At 36.1% G+C, this 21,972-nt stretch overlaps 2 protein-coding genes across 4 annotated transcripts in view; one reads left to right on the plus strand and one right to left on the minus strand.

The window, feature by feature from the left end:
- The window catches only part of COL10A1 (collagen type X alpha 1 chain), a 98,236-nt gene extending 77,691 nt beyond the window's left edge, over positions 1-20,545 (minus strand). Inside the window, exon 1 of one of the 2 annotated variants that reach the window (NM_001424107.1) lies at positions 20,372-20,545. The gene's annotated coding sequence lies outside the window, so the exon portion shown is untranslated. Of the gene's footprint in view, positions 1-12,663; positions 12,736-20,371 lie in introns of those variants that run through there. The other variant, XM_011535433.4, reaches the window with a different exon arrangement.
- The window catches only part of NT5DC1 (5'-nucleotidase domain containing 1), a 148,645-nt gene that overhangs the window by 95,747 nt on the left and 30,926 nt on the right, over positions 1-21,972 (plus strand). The window lies entirely within an intron of this gene.

Genomic DNA, 21,972 nt, shown 5'->3' on the forward strand with positions numbered 1-21,972 from the left:
AAGTTGAGGTCAGGGGAACAGGAGGAGTAGCTTCATTACACTAAACAAAATAGTGTTTCTTTGTGTCTGCTATGACATTTTATGAGCATTTCACCAGCATTGCTGACTTTTTCTGGGTTGTGTTTGCTGCTTCTTAACTCTGCGGTGTTGGGAATGCTGGCTCACTCTCTCCACCTTTTCCTCTTCTACTTGTGCAGCCTTGTGTATGCTGTTTTTAACACTCACATAGTGCTTACCATGAGCCAGGCACCGTTCTTCATTAGACAGGGAAAGCAGATACTTCCTTTTCCTCCCCTCTTCTACTCTGGTGTTGGAGATATCCTCAAATGGAATAGCCATGTTTTCTCCAGAGTTCTATCTAGTTGCATCTGACCAGCTCTTTTTCCTTTCATTTCTGGCAGACCTGGTGTCTGAGGGCTCCTCATTCTTCTACAGCTGTGTGTGTCCATCAGAGCCATAGCCTCAGAGCCAGAGGGTCACGGGAAGCAGGATCTCCTGTCCACCCCCACCTCCTTTCTCCATTTGTAGTGGGCCAGCTGCCCTCCTCACCTCTACTATCTTCTGCTCTCTACCTAGGGTCTGAAGAGGCATGAATCTTCATAGGCATCTGGCCACGGATCTGCTTTGCCTGGTTAATGATGTCGATGTCAGCTTTGTCCTCAACCACATACCATCCATAGTTTGTAGACACCATTCCCTTTACTGGTGGCCAACTGAGACTTATAACTGAACATTTTACAAAATCCACAAAAAGTCCTTGATTCTCTGCTAGGTCTCTGATTATCATCTTGTCTGATTTAAAATGCTAAGCAGAATTGAATCATTGGAAGATACTGGGAAGAATCTTCCCGGTCAAGAATCAACATTCTTGACCTTCACCACCTTTTACCTCTGCCACCCAAGTTTTAAGAACAAACAGCCAGGTACAGCGGTTAATAACAATAATTTTAGTTGCTGTAGTGCAGATAGAAGACAGTATAATACAGTAATGAAGGCACCCAAATGTCGGAGTTAGACTGTTAGAGATTCAAATACCATCTCTACTTTTTGATTGTTTAGCATTGGCCAATTGACACAATTACTTTTAAGTTCCACATGTGAAAATAAACTTGATAATGGTATTTATCTCATAGGATGTTATGCAGATTCAGTGAGATAATGTATAAAGAACTTAGCACAAGGACTGATGGATTGAAAGCGCTAGGTAAACATTTCTTCTTTATGTTTGCTACCATTGAGAAGCGTTTACATGTACCAGACATGCCAGTGCATTGACTACTTTATATACACATGTCTACTTCATTAGGAGCTCCACAAATAGCTTCACCCCAGATAGGGCTGCCACCAAAGCTCTCTGAATTTTGTCATAGAGGGCAGTGGCAATTTATGGCCCCAGGGCACCTAGCTTTGCTCAGAAAATGTCCTTCATCAGCTTGCTAGTGCCAAGAGTGAGCAAGCTTTTTCTAAATCTTCCAAGAGAGATCCTGGTAAATAAAAGGGTTATTTCTCCTGTCAAAGTGCTGGGTGGTCACCACATCAACAAATAGGGATTCAGTCACTCACTTCCTCTCCAAATTGAGGTCACTGAGTAGTGAACAACAGTTTCTGGGTAACAGCCATCTACTTGGTAAGGTTCACCCATTCATTCAAAGCCACGTAACTATTCCACACAGCTTGATCCTGAAACAGAAAACAGTCAATGTGGCCAGTAAATGATGGCTTATATGGAGATAGGCCTTTCCTTTTCAGGACCATTATATGTAACTGTGCTCATGCCCTGCTTGACTCAAGCAGCTTGTTTAAAGAGCATGCCTTCTTCTATTCGTCCCATACATAAGAACTACAGGTGGCTGGGTATAGTGACTCATGCTTATAATACCAGCAGTTTGGGAGGCTGAGGCAGAAGAATCACTTGAGGCCAGGAGTTCAAGACTAGCCTGGACAGCATAATGAGACCTCATCCCTAGAAAAAAAATTTAAAAATAGCCAGATCTGGTGGTGTGCACCTGCAGTCCTACCTGCTTGGGAGGCTGAGGCAGGATTGCTTGAGCCCAGGAGTTCAAAGTTACCTATGAGCTACGATCACACCACTGCACTCCAGCCTGGGCAACAGGGGAAGATCCTGTCTCTAAACAATATTTTTTTAAAAAAAGGACTACAGGAGTCTCTTATCTGATTTGAGAGCCATGTTTCTTAACCAAAGTGGGGACTTTTTCTTCTGATAGGCTAACTCATGAGGTCACAGAATGAGACAGAGTCTTCCATGGTGATCCCTCATAGCCACCAATAGAAAACTAATTCAGTTAGAATATAAACAGTGTAAATTAGATGAAGAATCTTCTAGTATTTATTCCTTTAGCTACCTTAGCACTATTGTCATCTTGAACTGGGTAATTCTTTGTTGGAGGAGCTGTTCTGTGCATTATATAATGTTTAGCAAGATCACTGGCCTCTATCCACTAGATGGTAGTAGCAGCACCCTCCACCCACCAGAAATTGCCAAATGTCCCTGGGGGGTGAGGGGAGCTAAATCACCCTCAGTCAAAAGCCGTAATGTATAAAAATATCTTTCCATGAAAGACAGACTCTCCAGTTGTTTCTTCTAGATAGACAAGAGAGTTTGTCAGTTACGCCTATTAAATTTTACCTTCTGAAAGGACTATCTTCTGGAAGTGCCTTTTTCCTTTTCTTATAGGTTGTTAATCTGGTCTTTGATGCTGTGTTCTCATCCAGAAGACATTAGATAGTCAAAGGACAGGGAACTACCATTAGAAGACTGAGTTTTATTCCAACACTGCTATTATTAGCCTTGGCACTGAGCAAATCCTTTAACTACTCTAAGCCTTAGTTTACCTATCTGTCATCAATGTTGTGGAAAGAGAAATATGTATGTACAAAAGCATCTTTAAAAAACAAAGAAGTCACCTAGCACTCAGATCTTAGTTTCTAACGCCATTCTCCAGTATTAGAAGCCAGGGCTCCTTGGAGAAATCTCTGACTTTAGGCCTGGGGCAGGAAATATACAAGATGACCTAGAGCATCTTGTAGTGCCAGAAGTAAATAAATGCTTTTTAAAAATTACAATGATGGAGGTGTGTAAAAGGGACACAGGAATTAAAGGATAGAGCTCCCAATGGCTAATGCTGGAACAATTTGAGAACAAAATAAATAAAGTAGTATGGAATTATAACCCAGAGTATAAAATAACCATCAATGAGTCTGGTATAAATAAGTGATTAACAAGTAAATAAATGGGGAGAAGAGACTAATCTACCACACAAAATATTTCCAAAATAGTTTATGCACACATTTTACCTTCAAGAAGGTAGAGCATGAATTTTTACTCCTTAAGGGTAGCCTGTGCATTGTACTTCCTTACAAAGAGTACAGTATGGAAAGTGGGGGGGGAAGAGTAACTTTGCAGTGGGGCAACCTGACAAATACTGTCCTGGCCAAATCATCCAGGTCAACATCAACAGTGACCCTTAATAGTATATACCCTTAATATAACATGAGAGTGGCACTTTATCTCCATGGTCTTCCACCCAATAACACATAACCCAGTCTAATGAAAAAGTCAGACAAATCCCAATTGAAGGACATTCTACAAAATATCTAACTAGTACTCCATAAAACTGTCAAAGTTACCAAAAACAGGGGAGGTCTGAAACTATGTCACGGTCAAGAGTAACCTAAGGAGACATAACCAGTAAACGTAATATGGTATCCTGGATGGGATCCTGGCACAGAAAAGAGACATTAGGTAAAAATTAAGGAAATCTAAATGAAGTGAGGACTTTAGTTAATAATAATGTATTGGTATTGCTTCACTAATTGTGACAAATGTACCATAATATTGAAAGATATTGATAGGGAAATTGAGTGTGAGGTGTATGGGAACTCTGGACTATCTTTGTAATTTTTCTGTCCATCTAAAACTACTAAAATTAAAATTTTATTTTAAAAAGCATAGCTAAATAAAGGTAAGACACTATTATAAGTAATGGTTATTTTATCCAGAAGGATATTATCGAGCTCTGGTATATAATTCCCTTAGTTTTAAAAGTCTATTCATGAAGTCATTCCTCAACTTCTCTCTCTGGGTGATATTTAATGTCCTTATGGATCGTACTTCATCTCTTCTCCCACTAGCTTGGAGCAGTTTCAGGTTCCCAGCTAAAGAAACTGAAGGATATCACATAACAGTTCTTCACCTTCTTGGCATAAATCCTGTGGCAGACCATGTTTACTTTTTCTTCTGAGGAAATCCACATATGCTCCCTTCTTCTTCCCCCACCCACTCAGAAATACAGCTGCCTTACAACTTACCAGTGCTTTTTTCTAACCAAGGTCTGAAAGGTTCTCTGTTTAGTTTCTTTGTTCTCAAGAGGAATGGAAAAAAGCGGGAAGGTACTATGGTAGCACCCCACAGCACCAACTTGCCCAGTAGGAGTGAAGTACTAACTTGCCCAATAGGAGTGAAGTACCAACTTGCCCAAGAGGTACTGCACCTAGATGTGTGCAGAATAAGAAGGTGAGATAAGGGGATCCTTCAGAATGAGTCACCACATGTAAAATCTTGGAGGGACAATACATGAGCAGATAAAAAAGTTTAATATAGGTAACTACAATTAGTTACCTCTATGATACTCTTGCCTTTTTGGCTGTAGCCATTATAACTAACTGTGTAATTGGAAGTCATTCCCACCACCTTTATTTCAGTGAACAGTATTGTTTATTCATTCTGGGCATATTGCACTGTATAAAGGTATGTATTTGAACATAGTTTGTTACAGAAATTGAATTTAGAATCACTCCAGTATATAGAGTAGTGTTCTGTAATCCGTTGGTGGAGAAGAATTGACCAATCAAATTTCCCTAATGAGACCAGTGACTTATGGGACTGCCTCGGTAATGCTTTTCAGTTCTGAGAACTTCAGTGAGGTGAGCATTTGCCAGAGTCAGGTTTACTGATGATATTAAAAGTCTTGGTTAATATAAAGATAATAGGGCAAACAACATGTGCTTACTATTATTTAGGCTTGTTTGACATCCCTTCCCACCCATGAAGTCGGGAAGGTAATATGTGGCCACTTCTGACATGTGAGGTCATGGGCAAGGACATGCAGCCGAAAGAAACACAGGTGTACAGCCTAAGCCACTTGATTCTGGGCAGAGTATTTCCCCTTCTAGCCTGCACTGAAGCCTTGGCATGGTTTCATGATTATAATTATTGCCTCTACTTTTTTAAATGCTCTATTTCTGGACCAAATCATGTTTGCTTATTATTTGGATCCAAATGCCACACTGGTAGATTTATGCACCTACAGCTGATAATTTTAGGAACTGTGAAATAAAGTTAATTTACACCTGGAGGAGTGCTGACCAATAGAACTTCCTGGAGTGAAGAAATAGTCTATATCCAGGCTGTCCAGTGTGGTAGCCATTAACCACATGTGGCTACCGAGCACTTGAAATGTGGCAGGGAGTTGCAGGAACTGACTTAAATTTTACTTAATTTAACTTGAAGTAGCCACGTGTGGCCCATACCTGCTAGAGCACCAGTCTAGACAGTGTAGGAATCCTCCATGTGATGCAGGCTCCCCTACCTTAGCTCTGGGCCTTCCTTGCACACACTTGGCTATTCTTTTCGAGAAAACATTTCTGTAGTACCTTTTTTTCTTATGCTTAGCATGGTTGGAATACATAGATCAGTAGCAGAACAAAGTTCCTTCTCAATTTTGGCCCACTTAAATCTAAAGCTGTAAGTTCTTAAACTCATCACTAAAAAATAAAATTCACTGAGTTTTGTTCGCCATACTCTTTTTTAGGGGAAACGAGGAAACAATGATCCCATATGTTCTTGATTCCACCTTTAAGAGTTTCAACCTTTAGAAAATTATTATTGGCAATAGGTTTATTTCTTTAATTCTAAAAACAAAGGCTATTTTCTTTTACAGATGCAAATCTGTTAATTTGATGCCTGCAAAGTTCAGTGACACTAAGTTTAGATTGAGTGGTATTTACAGAGTCATATGAAAATCCAGTCACATGATGTTTGTTAGGTTAAGAATGGCATTCTGAGATTATAGTCTAGGAAAGGGGGAACTGCAGTGTACAGTTTCATAAATGCATTGCAGATAAACATTAAAATATTAAGACAATGACAGCTATTTTTATTATTGTTAACTTGAGCAAGTAAATTCAGAAGCTCTATGGAAAGAATCAGAAAAAGTGACAGTTCTTAATTACCTCACATTTCCTTAACTAGAAAATCTTAAGGAGTGAGGAAAGTACAAAGGCAACAAATATTACTAGGGGTAATGTAGTAATGCAAAAAGGGAGGGAGGGGCTGTCTCATAATAAACTTTTACTTTTCCAAACATGGTTTTTCACTTAATACAAGTGGTTTTTTAAATTTAATTTAATACACAAATTTTTTCCCACAGATTATGATATTAAACATTTTTATGGTAGGACACAGGAAATAGTGAAGTTATATAAAATGTCACTTAATGCAAATTTGAACAAACCAAATTACCAAGTGGTTGCTTTTCTATACTAAACAGTTTTACAGTATTGTATTAGATTCTCATTTAATGTGAGTCTTTCATTTCTGATTTAACACTTGTTTTTATTCTATTTCTTGGATTCATTTTCATGGTCATGAAACTATTATGTCAGTTCTTTATTATTACTTTACTATACATTGTTATTAAATGTGAACATATTTTCAGCTAATAGAGCCCTGCAGTCCGCCAGAAGCTCTCTTCATGCTCCCTTCTAGCCAACATCCCTTTCCTGGAGAGACACCTAACACCACAGATTAATTTTGTCTCATTTTTTATTTTATATATGTAATTATGCAGTATGTATTTTCCTGCATCTAGTGGCTCTTCCTCAACATTATGCTCCTATAATGTCTCCCTGTTACTGAATGTCACAGTAATTCATTAATTTTCATTGCTGTACAATATGCCATTATATTAATATAACTACACCACATTTTATTTATTCATCCTACCCTTGGTAGACGTGAGTTAATTTAATTGGGGACTGTTATAAATAATGCCTCATGAACATCATTTACATGTGATTTTCATGCCTATTTACATGTTACCCTTAGAGCTACACCTAGAATTAGAATTGCCACATTATAGGGTGTATTTGTGAGTTCAGTTTTAGTAGGAACTGCCAAATAATTTTTCAAAGTACTTGCACAGTGTGAGTTCCAGATACCTTATATTCTCAATATCTTCACCAGTACTTGATGTTGTCAGAAATATTTTTTGCCACTTGATATCTATAATTATTATCATAATTTACCTTTTAGAGAACACCAGTAGTTTTAGACGACAGATGCCCTGACACACACACGGTGATCATCAAATATACCTATTCCCAGCTCTCCATAGACCCGCTGAAAAAAAACCCTCGAAGGCTGTGGCCTCTGACCCAGCTCACTTTGGGCAGTATAATTTGGAATTTGGTCCTGCAGTGAAACACCTGGGTAAGGGAGAGGACGATGCACTGCTGTGAGCCTGAAGGCTTTTGGTGGGGTAAGAAACACTTCAGGAGTTAATACCACCGAGTTTGTCAAGTGCTCTCAGAGTGTGTTTGTTGAATTTTTATAATAAAGTAACTTCATAAATAGCCCTCAATTTACTCAGTTGAATACAACAAATTGCTTTTTGGTAATTACTTCATTCTCAGCCTTGAATGTAGAAATGTAAAAGGGATGAGAGGTAGTGACTGAGAAAGATTCAAAAAGATGCACTACCTAATTAGTAATCAGGGAAATGCAAGGTAAAACAATGAGATGTCCACTTTCACTTAGTATATCAGCAAAAATTAAGATCTGACAGTATGACCTGATGAGAGTGTGGGGTAAGTGTACACACATATATGCTGCTAACAATGTTAAAAACTATTGTCCCCAACAATTCTGAAAGCAAACTCAGTGTAAATATTAAGATTAGAAACGCAGATATGCAATGAGCCAGCCGTTTAACATTTATAAGCCCTAAAGAAGTACTCATATGTATACATGGACTCAGATACAATGTTGTTTACTCCAGAATTTATAATGAAAAAAATCACCAAAGTACTGTTGTATTCATATGCTGGATTGCAATGTTGTGGTTAAAAAGAATGAAGCGTTTCTAGAATGTAAGGTCTATGAGAGAAAAAACTTTGTCCATGTTTTCAACAAGTAGAACAATGAATAGTGTGTAGTAGGTGCTCAGTAATTATTTGTTATAATTACATGGCTAGATTTAAGTACGTGGCTAGATTTTGAAGTCATTTTTTTGGGTGAGGAAAGCAAATTGCACAAAATGTGTACTAGAAAATACATGTATATGTGTGTGTAAGTCCATAACACCTTATTGGAAAGATACACACCAAAATGTGAACTACATATGTGTGTATGCAAGTCCGTAGAAATTTATCTGAAAAGTATACAGTGCAGAAGTGTCCAAGCAAATAATACATTCATGGGTTCTTAGTTTCTGTTTCTGGTTAGGCCGGTAAAACCCCTTCCTCATCCCTCTTTTCTGCTTATCATTACAGACAGAAACTAAAAACCATGTCTTCAGGCTGCTAAAAGCCTAAAACAAAACAAAATAGAACAACAACAAAATAAGCTGGGCTGGACAAGCTTGGTGTGACACTAAAATGACAACAATGATACTAGGGACCAGAAACTGAGAGTACTATTTAGAGAAGACTTCAGACTTTTTTTTTATGTTTCAAAATTTAGAACATATATTTGGAAATTTGGAAGTGTTCACATATCTTACTTGAGTAATTACGAGATAATTTTAAAATAACATTTAACCTTAGAAAGATAATTTCCCTGTTATCTGGTAGGTTGGAACTTAACTGAGTCAGCAGCTTCTCCCTCTGGAGCCCCACAGTCTCTACACAGATATACAGAGCATCTGATCTTGCTAGACCTAGTCTTCCCAAAGGAAATTCCTTAAATATGTGGAATAAATTGGGGGGGAAAAAAGGCTGTTCAGATATTTTATACATTTCTTTAAGAATAAACCAGCTGTTTGTGTAGTTTCCGTCTTTATTCTGATTTTGTATTAAAAGGGTACATTTTAAATTTTTCACTAATTGTATTTACATCTTTACAACAAGGCTGTAATATGTCTTAATAAAGGGGATAAAACAATAAGATTAGTAGATATGACAGTAAGGAATGTGTAATGAAAAAATCAAAGAGACCAAGATTTTCATTCCATCCTGCTGTTTTCCTCATTATGTCATGATGATAGGCAAGTCAGCCTCTCTAGGCCTCATTTTCATATCTGCACAATGAGATTAGGTTTTGTGGTCCCCAAGGTTCTAATAGCTACCCCAAGTTTCTCTGCTCAGTCCTTTGAGAATGATCTAATAGACCATTGGACCATCTAGCCCAGTGTTTTTTCCTGGAAGTAACAAAAAGTAGAACCACCCTGCCTCCTGCTCAGTAGGACTTTTAGGGTTTTTTCATAGCATATGTTTCAAAATATGTTTTGAAGGTAAGTAGCATTTTGATAAGGGAAATCTTGCATTTTGGGCCCATGCAGGGCAATTCCATGATGCAGTGTGGCCCATAGCATTTCGTGGTTAATCAACTGCCTGTACTTAGGCCAGAGGAACTTGTTAAAGTAAAAATAGCTCTAACACAAAATTTTTACTATGTGTAAAGCATTGTGCTAAATGTTTCACATATATCATTGCATATAATTCACACAATTACCTAATGGGGTGAGTGTTATAACTGTGATCATTTTATAGATAAGCCAACAGTCTCTCAATGACTAAAGCACTTACCCAAGGAAATTGCACAACTAAGACTTGACTCAAGACTGTCTGATTTGGGTCCATACCACCCAGGAACACTGGAGACCATATCCTGTAATATACTTTTATCTGTGTGTCTACTCTGGTACAGAACTTTGTGCTCTGAAGCTTTTCAGTAGAAATGGAATAGCAACTCTCCTTACATCAACAGCAACAGCTGTTTCTTAATGAAGTCACCTGCAAATTATGAATTTCTTTCTGCCATCCCTCCTACCCTGCTCCATAATGATTTAATTTGCTGGCATGAGACATTTAGATAAAGTTCCTTTTGATGTTTTAAATGGATTTTATATCTGGAGGGCAAAACATTTTCTTTGCCATAGTTTTTAGATAAACTGTTAATTGGTCGAAGTCTAGTGCAGTTTCCTCTTTACTCACATTTTTCTTCATTGAATACACATAGGGCATTTAGTGTTTATTGCTAACATTTGCCAAATAATTGTGTGCAAAATATTTGTCTCATTTAAATTGGATTTTAAATGTTTTCTTCTTGTTTATTGAGTAATTCTAGAATTTAAAGTTCTCTGGATTTATATTGACATCTTTCCTTTTAAAAATAAATAGTCTGATCACTTATGTCATATGCTTTCTTAACAAACTTTTTCCTAGGTCAAAAGAATGTAATTTTTTATTAGAAAATAGTTTCATTATTACAATATTGTTTTATTCAGATCCTCTGGGAGCTGATATCTCTGCATTAATAACTATACCTATTCCCTGCCTACAGCAGATTTCTTCCACTTTATTCTGAAAGATTGAAGGTATGCACTCAATAAATGGATCATATGTCTTAAGAAATCATGGGAAAAAATATTTCTGTACCTGCATTTCCTTTTAAGATCAATAGAGTCTATAGCTATAGAAGTAAATGTTTTCTTTTTTATGGTGGACTTAATGTATTCTAAAGAGAGAAAGCAAAAAAAATCCTTTACAATCTTTAATTAGATAGATGATAGATACATATGTCCATATTATATAGGTAAAGACTAAGTTTATAACCTTATTTTTCAGATTTTTTTTCATGCTTACCGGGTAAAGAGTTACTTAATTTTTGGTTTAAAAAGTCTTTCATCTTTATGTTTGAAAAGTATATATGATTGTATTTTATTATGATTATATGTTAATTCTAAAAAATACCCAAAATATATAAACTTGTTGCATTAGATTGGAAGCAGGCAGTGTGAAAAAGGCAAAAATAAGACCAAAGAAGAAAAAAGAGGAATTTAGATGGTTAAAAGCCCTGCTTAGAGTAGAATATTCTGGGAACCCAGCCATTACTCAACTGTGAACCCCTCGTGCCCAGGTTCCCACTGTATTTCTACCTGAGTCTCTGCCCACTCCTTGCAGAGGCTATAAAGAGCCGCCCCAGGCTTTCTTTACTCTGTGCCTCATTACTGATCATTATGGAATGAGGACTGGGTTCCCATCACAGATTATTTTTGTTATTTATATTGATTTGGGAGCTGAGTTTAGCATAGTGTATACATACTGAAATGTTGTCTCGGCATTCTGTTAGGCTACCTACTACAGAAGAAAAACCAGGTTAGAAGAAACACAGTGAAAGTTCTATTCCAGGTCTTTCGTTTGTTAAATAATTGAGCACTTCAGTCCTCAGTGTGGGGCAGATTTCCTTAAGACATTGATAGTTAATGACCCCTAATATCTAGCTTATGATTTCTATGTTCCTGTTATTTTTTCTGATCTCTTTGTGCCTCAAAGCTAGAGAAGTCAACTGTAACTTTTTTCAAAGGAATAAGCATTGCCACATTTCTGAGTCTGCTTTGCCCGGAGGCATCCCATTTTAGTTCTCCTAATTTTTTCCAGCTTCTCTCTTCTGAAGGAGGTGGAAGATTTCAAGTAAGGATAATGTCAGTGGGCTGACTTCTGTTGAAAACAAAACCCTCCCAAAATGTTTTATGCTTCACAAATACATTTTAAAACCGTTTGAAATGAAAGCTACAGTGTATCTCTTTGAAGCTAGCCCCTAAAACCTGTCCCAGGTTTTACCTGGAGGCATCTTTGTTTTGCTGTACCAAGGAAAACATTCCTATTTCTTGCACAGTTAATTTGTAAGGCTGTACTTAGGCAATAGTGCCTTTATTCGTTCATCTCAAGCTACAAGCTCTTTAGTTCTTTCTGATCATGTCATCATGTCATCATGTGCATTTTTGGGATCTTTCAACTTCCTTTGACATTCATGAGGAAAAATATTACCAGTGGTGGCTTTCAGCCCTAGGCTTGTAGTGTCTTTCTGTGACCCTGCGATTGCTCTTTTAACAAGCAGACCAAGTGAGCCTGAAAACATCTTATTCAGAGACTAAAAATAAAGTGTGCTAAAATCATAAAAGCAATAGCAAAGGCACATATAGATAGGTTTTAAAGAGATGGCAGAGTAAAGAGACCCATCATCTGGCTCATAGAATATACTAATAGAGAACCCAGGCCAGAGAGTAATTGAAGGGCAGTTACATCATGGCTGGGGATCCACTGTGATTAAAAGATACATAAAGGTATTTATGTTGTCTTTCATTAGTTTGATCACAAATCATTTTGTAATATTCACTCTGCTCAGAGACTGCATAGGCTTTAAACAAAGTCTCTTAAATTGATGATTTTATTATTCTTTTGGTACTTTCTAGTAATAGTGCATTATATATAACTAATTGTATTTTTATTACGTTACTGTCCCGTAGTTATTAAATACTACATATCAGGATTCAGCAAACCTTTTCTTAAAGGGCCAGATAGTAAATATTATAGGCTTTGGGCACCAAGAGACAAAATCAAGGCTATTATATTGATACTTACATTACCATTTTAAGATGTAAGCACCTTTCTTAGCTTGTGGGCTGTGGTTTGCCAACCTCTGGTCTTTATGGTCACCTGGTAAGTCTTGCCTGGTAGCTTTTTCCCACACACACTTACTTCTGTAGTTAGGAATCCTCTGGTACTTGCCTGATATTAGGAGTATAAACATGAATGTTAAGATGGTTCTTTTCTTAAAAGATCTCAGAGTCTCAGAAGAAAGAAAAATACATAAATATGCTTATTACAAGTGTTGATTATAGTGTAACATGATGAATGCCATCATTGATGTGCAGAGTGGGTATTGGGGAGGGCTCCTCATAGAAGGTAACCTTGTGACAAGCTTCCAAGGTTCACCAGGCAGCAGAGGGAAGGCAGAGTATTCCAGGAAGGGAGATAATATTTATGCCTTAATTTTAGACGTTTATTTGGGGTTTTTTTTCCTATCTCAGTGGAAGGTCTGAGTTTCCAGATAATAGCAGAGACAATATCAGTTCAGTGACAAAGAACTTCTGCAGAAATCCTGAGGAAAAGCAGAATTGAATTTTATAATTATTATCCAATAATTATATAGCTAAACAGGCATACCATTTAAAGCATTTGATTTCTGCTTCTGAACGCAAGTTATTTTTCTTTAACAGATAATGGTCATCAAATAAGTTAAATCTCAAACATATAGATTTAGACACATAAATGATGAGGTTTAGTGGATTAGGATTCTTGAGGACTCTATTCCATACCCAAGTTTGTTACTAACCGTAATTTTGAGCAAAATATGTGGTGGCTACTTAATCATCTTTAATATGACAAGGTTGAAGGGTGTGATTTCTAAGGCTCCTTTTAATTCTAGATATAATTAGAATGCATATTGATGGATACTTTTTTCCTCTGCAGAAATCTAATTTGGTGTTTCAATTTTCCTTTATGGCTTTTGAGTTCAGTGCCATGCTTAAAAGACTTTCCACATTGCAAGATTTTAAATAAATTTATATGTAAGGTTCAAAAAGAAGCTAATTTGATTTGTCAAAATTTATCCAAATTCTGAACTCTCACTTATTAAAATTCTGAACAACCTCAAACCCCTGAAATGTAATAATGTACCATGTGAAAAAAAAAAAGAGTAAAGATTTGTGGTGACCCTGTAGTTACCATAGAGTCCCCAAATGCCTTGTAACTGGGCAGTATTGCACAAGCTCCGAAAGCAGACCGCCTGCATTCAAATTCCGATTCTGCCACATGGTAGCTGTGTGACTTTGGGCAAGTTCCTTAGCCTCTCTGTATCTCGGATTTTCAGTTGCAAAACGGGAATCATATAGGACCTGTTCCTGGGGTCATTATGAGGATTAAATCCATTAATAGTTATAAAGGTCTTGGAACTGTGTTTGGCAAAAATAAGCACTCAGATTATGTCAGTTATTATGAGGATAATTATTATAAATAATCTATTTTAAAAGTGATATTAAGTTAAAACCATGGAAATGTTTTAAAATAAATGTTAATGCCATAGGAAATTCCTCAGATACAATGCTGAACAGAAACACAGGTAAAAAAAACTATATATGGTATGCTTAAAATTCCCACAGAGTTAGATATGAACAGAAAATATACTGGCAGGAATCACATAGAAGTATTAGTATGTTTGGCAGCTAGTCTACAAAGATAGCTCTCTAATGAATCATGCCTCCCAGAAGTCACACCTTTCTGTTTTCTTCTCCTTGAAAATGAGCTGGACCTCTATCATCAGTAAAATTCAGCAGAAGTGCTACTGTAAAATTCCTAAAACTAGGTCATAAGGAGCCTTGCAGCTTTTGCTTGTCTTAAAACACTTGCTCTGGGGGAAACCCACCGCCACTTAAGAAGTCCAACTACTGTGAGACCCAAATGCAGAGAGAAAGCTCAAGCTAGCTAAGTGGAGAGATGTTTGTTTCACCAGCTCTCACCGTTCCAGCCAGCCCAGCCCAGGTGCCAGACAGTGAGTGAAGAAACCCTTAGATGATTCCATACCCCCGGGCACAACTCCAAGTGAGAAATGCCTGGCTGAGTTCAGTCAACCCTCAGAATCAGGAGATGATAATACATTGTTATTTTAAGCCATCATGTTTGAGGTGGTTTGTTGTGCAGCAATAAAAAACCCAATACAATGAATTTTCTCTAGCAAAAGTGTATCATATATAAGAAAAGCAATAATTTAATCTCTTTAAATAGTTCTTTTTTCCATATAGGTTCAACAGTAAGAGTTGACTGTATTTTATGTATGTTTTTATATTGTATATTTGGTTATTCTTAATTAACCTACAAATTAATTTAACTAGAACAGCCATTCATTAGCCATGCCAAATAAGTATAAATGTATTGGACTTAGAATAATTTACATGTAAAAAATATAGAGTCCACGAAGTATATTTATTCCTGGACAAACTGTGTACAAATTCTGTACTACCTATTACAGAGAATTTCCTTTTTCTAAGACATTTTTATAAGATTTTTCTCGACTATAACAAAGGGAGGGATATTGGAATGTTTGCTTTGTTGTACTGTGCAAATCTAAGAGAATCTAAGTCTGTGGTTCTTCATGTCCCTAGCCTCAGGAATCTAATTAAAGCTAGAGAGCCTACACCTGCTCTGATCCCCCAACACACACAACACACTGATGAACAAAATGTTGCAAAGAGTATTGGGGTTTCATTCACGCAGTGAGGCCTGTGTATGGATTTTAGGATAAGAACCCAGGCTTAGGGCATTATTACTCCTCAAGCAATGTTGCAGAGTATTACACATAGACTATCCTATATATTTATGTTTGTTATATCAAAGAAATTATTTCATTATTCTAATACTATTTTATCAATTCTTTTTCAAATTTTTTATTAAAAAGTTAATAACTCTGTCAAAACAATTATCAGAGTTAAAATCTCACTGATTTGAAACTTTAGTATGTTCTTTTTTCCTTTTTCTTTTGTTATCATGGAGTAACTAGCCAGGTGATATTTTATGAAAGCATATAGAAGATATGACTGATACAAATACAGGTGGAAAAGTATAGTGAAAAACAGAGTAGTGCCTCATTAAAATAGCTGCTTAACTACTCTGTCTATGCAAGGTATAGATGTGGCACAGACCTAGGAGGCTAGAGAGGGCTTTCCTATTTATATAATACACTGTCTGGACATTGAACAAGTAATCCTTTGTGATTATAATCTTTATGTGTGTTCTGAAATGGATTGCTTCTAAGTGAAATACAACTCTGCATACTTTTGGCTTTATTAGTAAGAAAAGATATTTCTGAAGAAACTGAGGATATCTGAACTAAATTAATTAAGGAAACAGTGCACTCTTGTGATAAAATTTGATCTTTAAAATGCATATTCCTTTGAATACCAATCTAGTTTTTTAAGAAAAATCCAAAGTTTTTGAGTTGAGATTTAATGGGTGGCAGGGAGGCAGGGGAACAAACATCCCAGGATATTCATTTTTTACTGCTATAATCACTCTGTATTTCAGCAATTGATTATTATTTTCAGTTTCTAAGCATTTCATATTTGAACTAGATGAGAAGTGATAAGTATGTAGAATTTGCTTTAAATACTTGTTAATTTTGGATTTCTTTAAACTGTTTAAAACATTTATGCTGACAAAAGCTTTTCATGTATTTACATTTTGTAAATTTATATGCAGTAGAAACCTTTGAGTTATTTTTTGGAGGTGAAGAAAAACAATTTAGAGCCTGTTTACTTTTATTTCATCTGTTTCTAAAAGGATTTGTGAATATTTTATCTTGAATTGCATAGAGATAATAATTAAAATTGGGACTTTATTCCAAAGCATCTTGTTTAGATTATCTATTGCTCCATAGGATACCAACACACAAAACTCAGTATCATGTCACTTATGGATTCTGGGCTTAGTTGGGTGCTTCTAAACGTGGGGGTCTCTCCTGTGGTTGCAGTCAGATGTCAGTGGGGACAGTAGTCTTCTGAAGGCATGACTGGGCTGGATGTCCAAGGGGCTCACTATGTCTTGCAGTTGAAGCTTTTAGCTCAACACTCAGCTGGGGCTGGCAGTTGGAGCACCTACAACACAAATTCTTCATCTAACCTATTCCTCACAGCATCTCAGGTAGCCTCAGATTGGTTGCACATCTTACATGGCACATGACTTCCAACAGGTAAGGAGTCGAAGCTGCCAGGCCATTTAAGGGCTACACCTGGAACTAACACAGGGTCATTCGCACTGCATTCTATTGGTCAAAGCAGTAAAATAACCTCTCCAGATATAAAAGAATGGAACAATTAACTCCAACTCTAGACATATGAGGTGGGAGATATTGTTGTGTCCATCTTGGAAACTCAATCCACTTCACATCTTCTATAATGTTTTATATTCAATAAATTTAACATCTGTTCTATGTGTAGATCACATGTAGGAGAACATGAAAATGCCCCTTCAATTATAATGAGCTACTAAAAACTAATGCTACTTTGAGAAGTGCTGTAACAGGCACAGGATCCTGCCTATTTCACCTCTAGTGATAGGCTCCCTGCAAAAGGATCAGAAAGAGTTGTGTCTAGGTAAGTAGAAGGGGTGGAAGGGAATTCTTATTGGGGATTTTGTGCCAAGCACTATGAGATGGATACTTTACCCACACTACTTTTTTTTGTTTTTTAAGAGATGGGATATCTCTGTGTTGCCTAGGCTAGGCTCAAGTGATCCTCCCGCCTCACCTTCCCAAGTAGCTGGGACTATAGGCACACATCACTGTGCCTGGCTTTCTTCTCCATAATTTAATGAGATTTTATAGGTGAAGAAATTAAGAATTAAAATTTTTAAGTAAATTTCTCAAAAATCCTGATACTGTAAGTGGCAAACCACTTACAAACTTAGGATTCAAACTTAGGCCATTTGACTCCAAAGTGTGTGCTTTTTCTACTTTACATGCAAGAGTATTGCTCTCAAGGCTCAGAAATGAAAGTGAATGTCAAATAGTACACTGAAAAAACATAAAACAGTTCATCAGGTCTTTATTCTCATATATATCCTTCTTATAAAGGAAATAAAAATAAATTCTATTTTACTTAAAAAGATTTTTACTTAAAATGTTTTTAAACACAGACACAGATTTGAGCATTTTTATCAGATAACGTTAAATATGCATAATCTGGTTTTGCACTTCTAGCCGAAATAGTGAGGACCATGTTCTGCTAGGAGAAAAAAGGCTTTCAAAAAGCTGTCTGGTTTTATAGGGGTATTCTACTGAAGTAATTCTCAAAGTGTGGTTCTTGGACTGTCAGTTGACCTGAGAAATTGTTAGAAATGCACATCTTCAGGCCCCACCCCAAACCTACTGAATCAGAAACTCTAGGAGTATTTTTGAAAGCATTCTGGATAATTCTAATTTACCTTCATTTTGAGACCCACTACTCTACCAAAAGTCTGTTTTTGAAATATCATATTCAAAATGCAAAGACATTTTAGAGGAGGAGAAACACTGTGGAAATGGGTGTTCATTGTGGCTAAAGAGTTATCTGTGTTGTGCACATGTACCCTAAAACTTAAAGTATAATAAAAAAAAAAAGAGTTATCTGGCTGGACATCACCATGGAGGCATAGACTCAAGCAACTCTAAGATTAAACGGTCCTTTGAAGCTGCCTGTTTCACAGGTTTGTAAATGTCTGATTGGCCAGTGTGTATCTCTGGGGCTCCACCAGAGGTCTCTAGGGTGGGGGGCATAGGAATTGTTAACATCATCATTCTCTGGACACACTTTCTTGTGAAAAGTGTCATCCAGAATAGAACCCAGTTATCAAGGTTTAGTCTGAAAATGATTAAAAGAGTGGAAATTATTGCTTTCCTGGTTCTGAACATTGTACTGATATTAATGTAGCTCTACAATCTAATCACCTAATTGGATAATACGGAGCACATGAAGATAAGATGCCTAGGGTTATAAAGGAGGACACATGCTTCTTACCCAGCTTTCTGGAGCAGAAATATTTTTCCAGAAACATGATATCAAAAGTACATAGTAGTAACTAAATAAATTGCAAAACATGGTCTCCAAACTTTTTATTTTACTTTGTCTATACTGTGGAGCCTAAGCTGACTGTAAGCTCTATATTTTGAAGTTGCTGACAAACAACAGCTCCTCCAATGTTATGCCTGTATGGCTGAGCTTTCAACCTGGTAAGATTTCATCTCTCCCTATGAAATTGTACCTCACTGAGTCACCTTGTCGACTTTACAGCCTGTCCAGATATTATTGTATGTGATTCTGTCATCAGATCCATCTGCTGACCCTCCCAGCTGTCAGCGTCCTCATTAAAGGATTTGTTATATTTTGAATAAAACCAGGCAGACCTTCAAAAACCTCTCTCCACATTTACGTTGTCTGTCCAGTAACCATGTCGGAAAGAGGAAACTAGGTTCTTTTAGAATGATTCATTCTGATATCATAGGAGAAAAAATAGGTTGTAAACTGATGGCAACAGGGGAGTTGACTAGGCCAAGTGCAGACAATATGGCGTGGTGGGATTGTGGGTAAACTATTACAATACATATGTAATACTGTCCAAGGACATTAACATCCAAAAATTTTAAAATACTGCCGACCCAAAATCATATTTATAGACTGTATTCAGCACAGAGTCAGGCAGTTTGATGGCTTTGGAGAGATAAAGGAGTCTGTTTGGCTTGTCTATACTCATTTAAACTGTTCGAATAATTTTTCTTTCAAAGAATTCCATAATATACACTTTTTCCAGGAATCCTCCTTTCAAAGGAGGAATGAAATCCATCATTCTGTATTCACAATACTTAACTAAATCTAGAGTACCATGCTTAATTGGTATAGTGTAAGAGTAAACACTTTAAAGATCATCAACCACAATGACATTTAAGATAATTGGCAACAGTTATTATTTGTTGATTACCTAACATGTACAAGGCTATATGTTAGGTAATAAAGATACTATAAAATTCAAAAGTCCCTGCCCTCTGAGAGCCTGTGATTTCCAATGAAGCAGGCAAAATACACAGAAAATAATAGTAAGAATTCTGGTTTTTATATTTTATATTTTATATTTTAGGTCAACAAGTCTTAATCCTGGTAGCACATTAGGACTACCTGGGAAGCTTTAAAAAAAAAAATACCAATGTTGTGGCCCTACCCCAAAACAATTAAATCAGAATTTTTGGAGTAGGGCCGGGATATGCAAATTAAATTACAGATCTGGAAATCAGATACTGTTAAAATGTAAATTTTGTATATTATGTTTTTCTCTCATATTCTGTACTTCATTTCCCAGCTTTTATTTGAGAGACTTTCCAAGTATTATGTTTAGCATATAGATTTTCACTTTACACAATCTAGATATTCTAGATTTATTTATTTAATTATAAAATATTAGATATAAACCATATATTTTGTTATATAAACAGCAAATCTGTTTTAATACATTTTAATTTTATTTTTTGCCACCTATAAATAAACAAAATAAATTTATCTCTTTTATCCTCCAACAAATATTTCAGTGTCTCTTAGCAAAGAAGTTTCTTCTTTTAAGAAAATTAATTATATCATCTCTACAGCAAGTACATTTAAACAGTTCATCGCTAGGCATTTTAGCTGTTCACTAGCGTGCTCTTATATAACTTGTAAAGGTTGTAAATATTTAAATCTCTTCTAAATTATATTCTGCAATGGAAACAACAGACCTTATTTGGAGGCTGACCATGGAAGTGTTAGCATCCTGGCATCTCTAGTCCCCTCGGACAGCAGCTTTGAAAATTCTGGCCAAAAATCATGCAAACAGTAGTGATACAGTTAACAAGAAAAAGCTTATTCAGTGATGATAGAAATAGTGATGTGGCACAATTGTCTGTTAAACTGAAAAAAACTGTTTTTAATATTCAGGTTGTACTATACTTTTTTACCACGAGAGGTCCCTATATCCTGTTTGGTGTATTCAGGCCATTTGATGTGCATATCAGACTGTTGCAACACTTTGGTATTATTTCTGTCACTCTACATTAACCAGTTTTTTTAACATAGGAGAGCTAAACTTTTATTCCTTAGAATCAGCTTATTAAAAGAATTTCCTTTAAATCTCATCTGGACCTAGAAAATATCAGCATCAAAGGATATAAGAGTGGTGGAAAAACCAGGAAAATAAGTTACATAAAGTGGCAGTGAAATAGAATTCCTTTGGAGGTTAAGTGAAAACACAGGCTTCTTTGTGAGTTAAGAACAAACAATACCACTCCTTTCCATCTTAGGTCTAAATTCCATTTTGTTCAATCAGTGTTAATTAGTATCATAATTAAACATGACTTTTTTCATAGGCTGCCTTAATCATACATGAATAATATTATTTTTATCACTTCAGTTTGGCTATATGGTACTAATCATACTCTTGCCTTGAATGTAAGGAAACATAAATGTTCCTGTGTCTGCTCCTGCACTAATTTAGGTATTCATATGTTGAATACTTGCTCCATGCCAAGCAGAAAGATATATTTCTTGCCTTTAGAAGTTTATAGTTTCTTTGGGGGATATAATTTAATAGACAATTATAATCCATTGTAGTATGTTTAACATAACTCTTCATTTGATTTAATACCTTGACTTATTTCAATAAAAAGATGTTTCTATTTGTATAATTATGTCTCCTATTCCTTTAATAATTGGAGGTTACAAGGGGGCAAAAATATTTTCTCCATGACAGTGATCTTTTGTAGTAAGAGCAACTCATAATCTACCATTGGGTATGTGTTTGTACAGGGCTTGTCTTTTTTAGTTTGTTCATTTCAGTCTGGCTTATGAACAAAACAAGGACATCTCTGTTATGACTTCAGAGAATAATTTTATCTGATTAAATTATTATATTGGTACTCTTTTGAATCAGACATTATTAATTGAGATACTAATGCAATTAACCTAGGTAAGAAATTTAAAATATTGTATTTAAATGCGTATGCCTTGTATTTTTATTCCTTTGGAAATGTTAACAGTAGCTTTTTAATGGTAATTTATATTTTGATCACTAGATGGCACTAAGCACATATAGCTAAGAAAAAATAATTTTTTCTCAAGTTTTCTGAAAGCAAGTCTATGTTTTCAGCATTACACACTATAAATTTTTTTCTTACGTAGCCCATAAAATTCTTCTTGCTACAAAAGCTTTGTTTTTCTAAGTGAAATAATCTCACATCTGACTCCCTTAGGTATAGTAAGTTACGAGAGAGACACAGCCTCTGAAATTAGCAGTCATCCACTCATCAAACTTCTCTATTCTTAGCCATTTAGATTTATTATT

This window comes from Homo sapiens, chromosome 6, assembly GCF_000001405.40.
Source record: "Homo sapiens chromosome 6, GRCh38.p14 Primary Assembly".
NCBI lineage: Eukaryota > Metazoa > Chordata > Mammalia > Primates > Hominidae > Homo > Homo sapiens.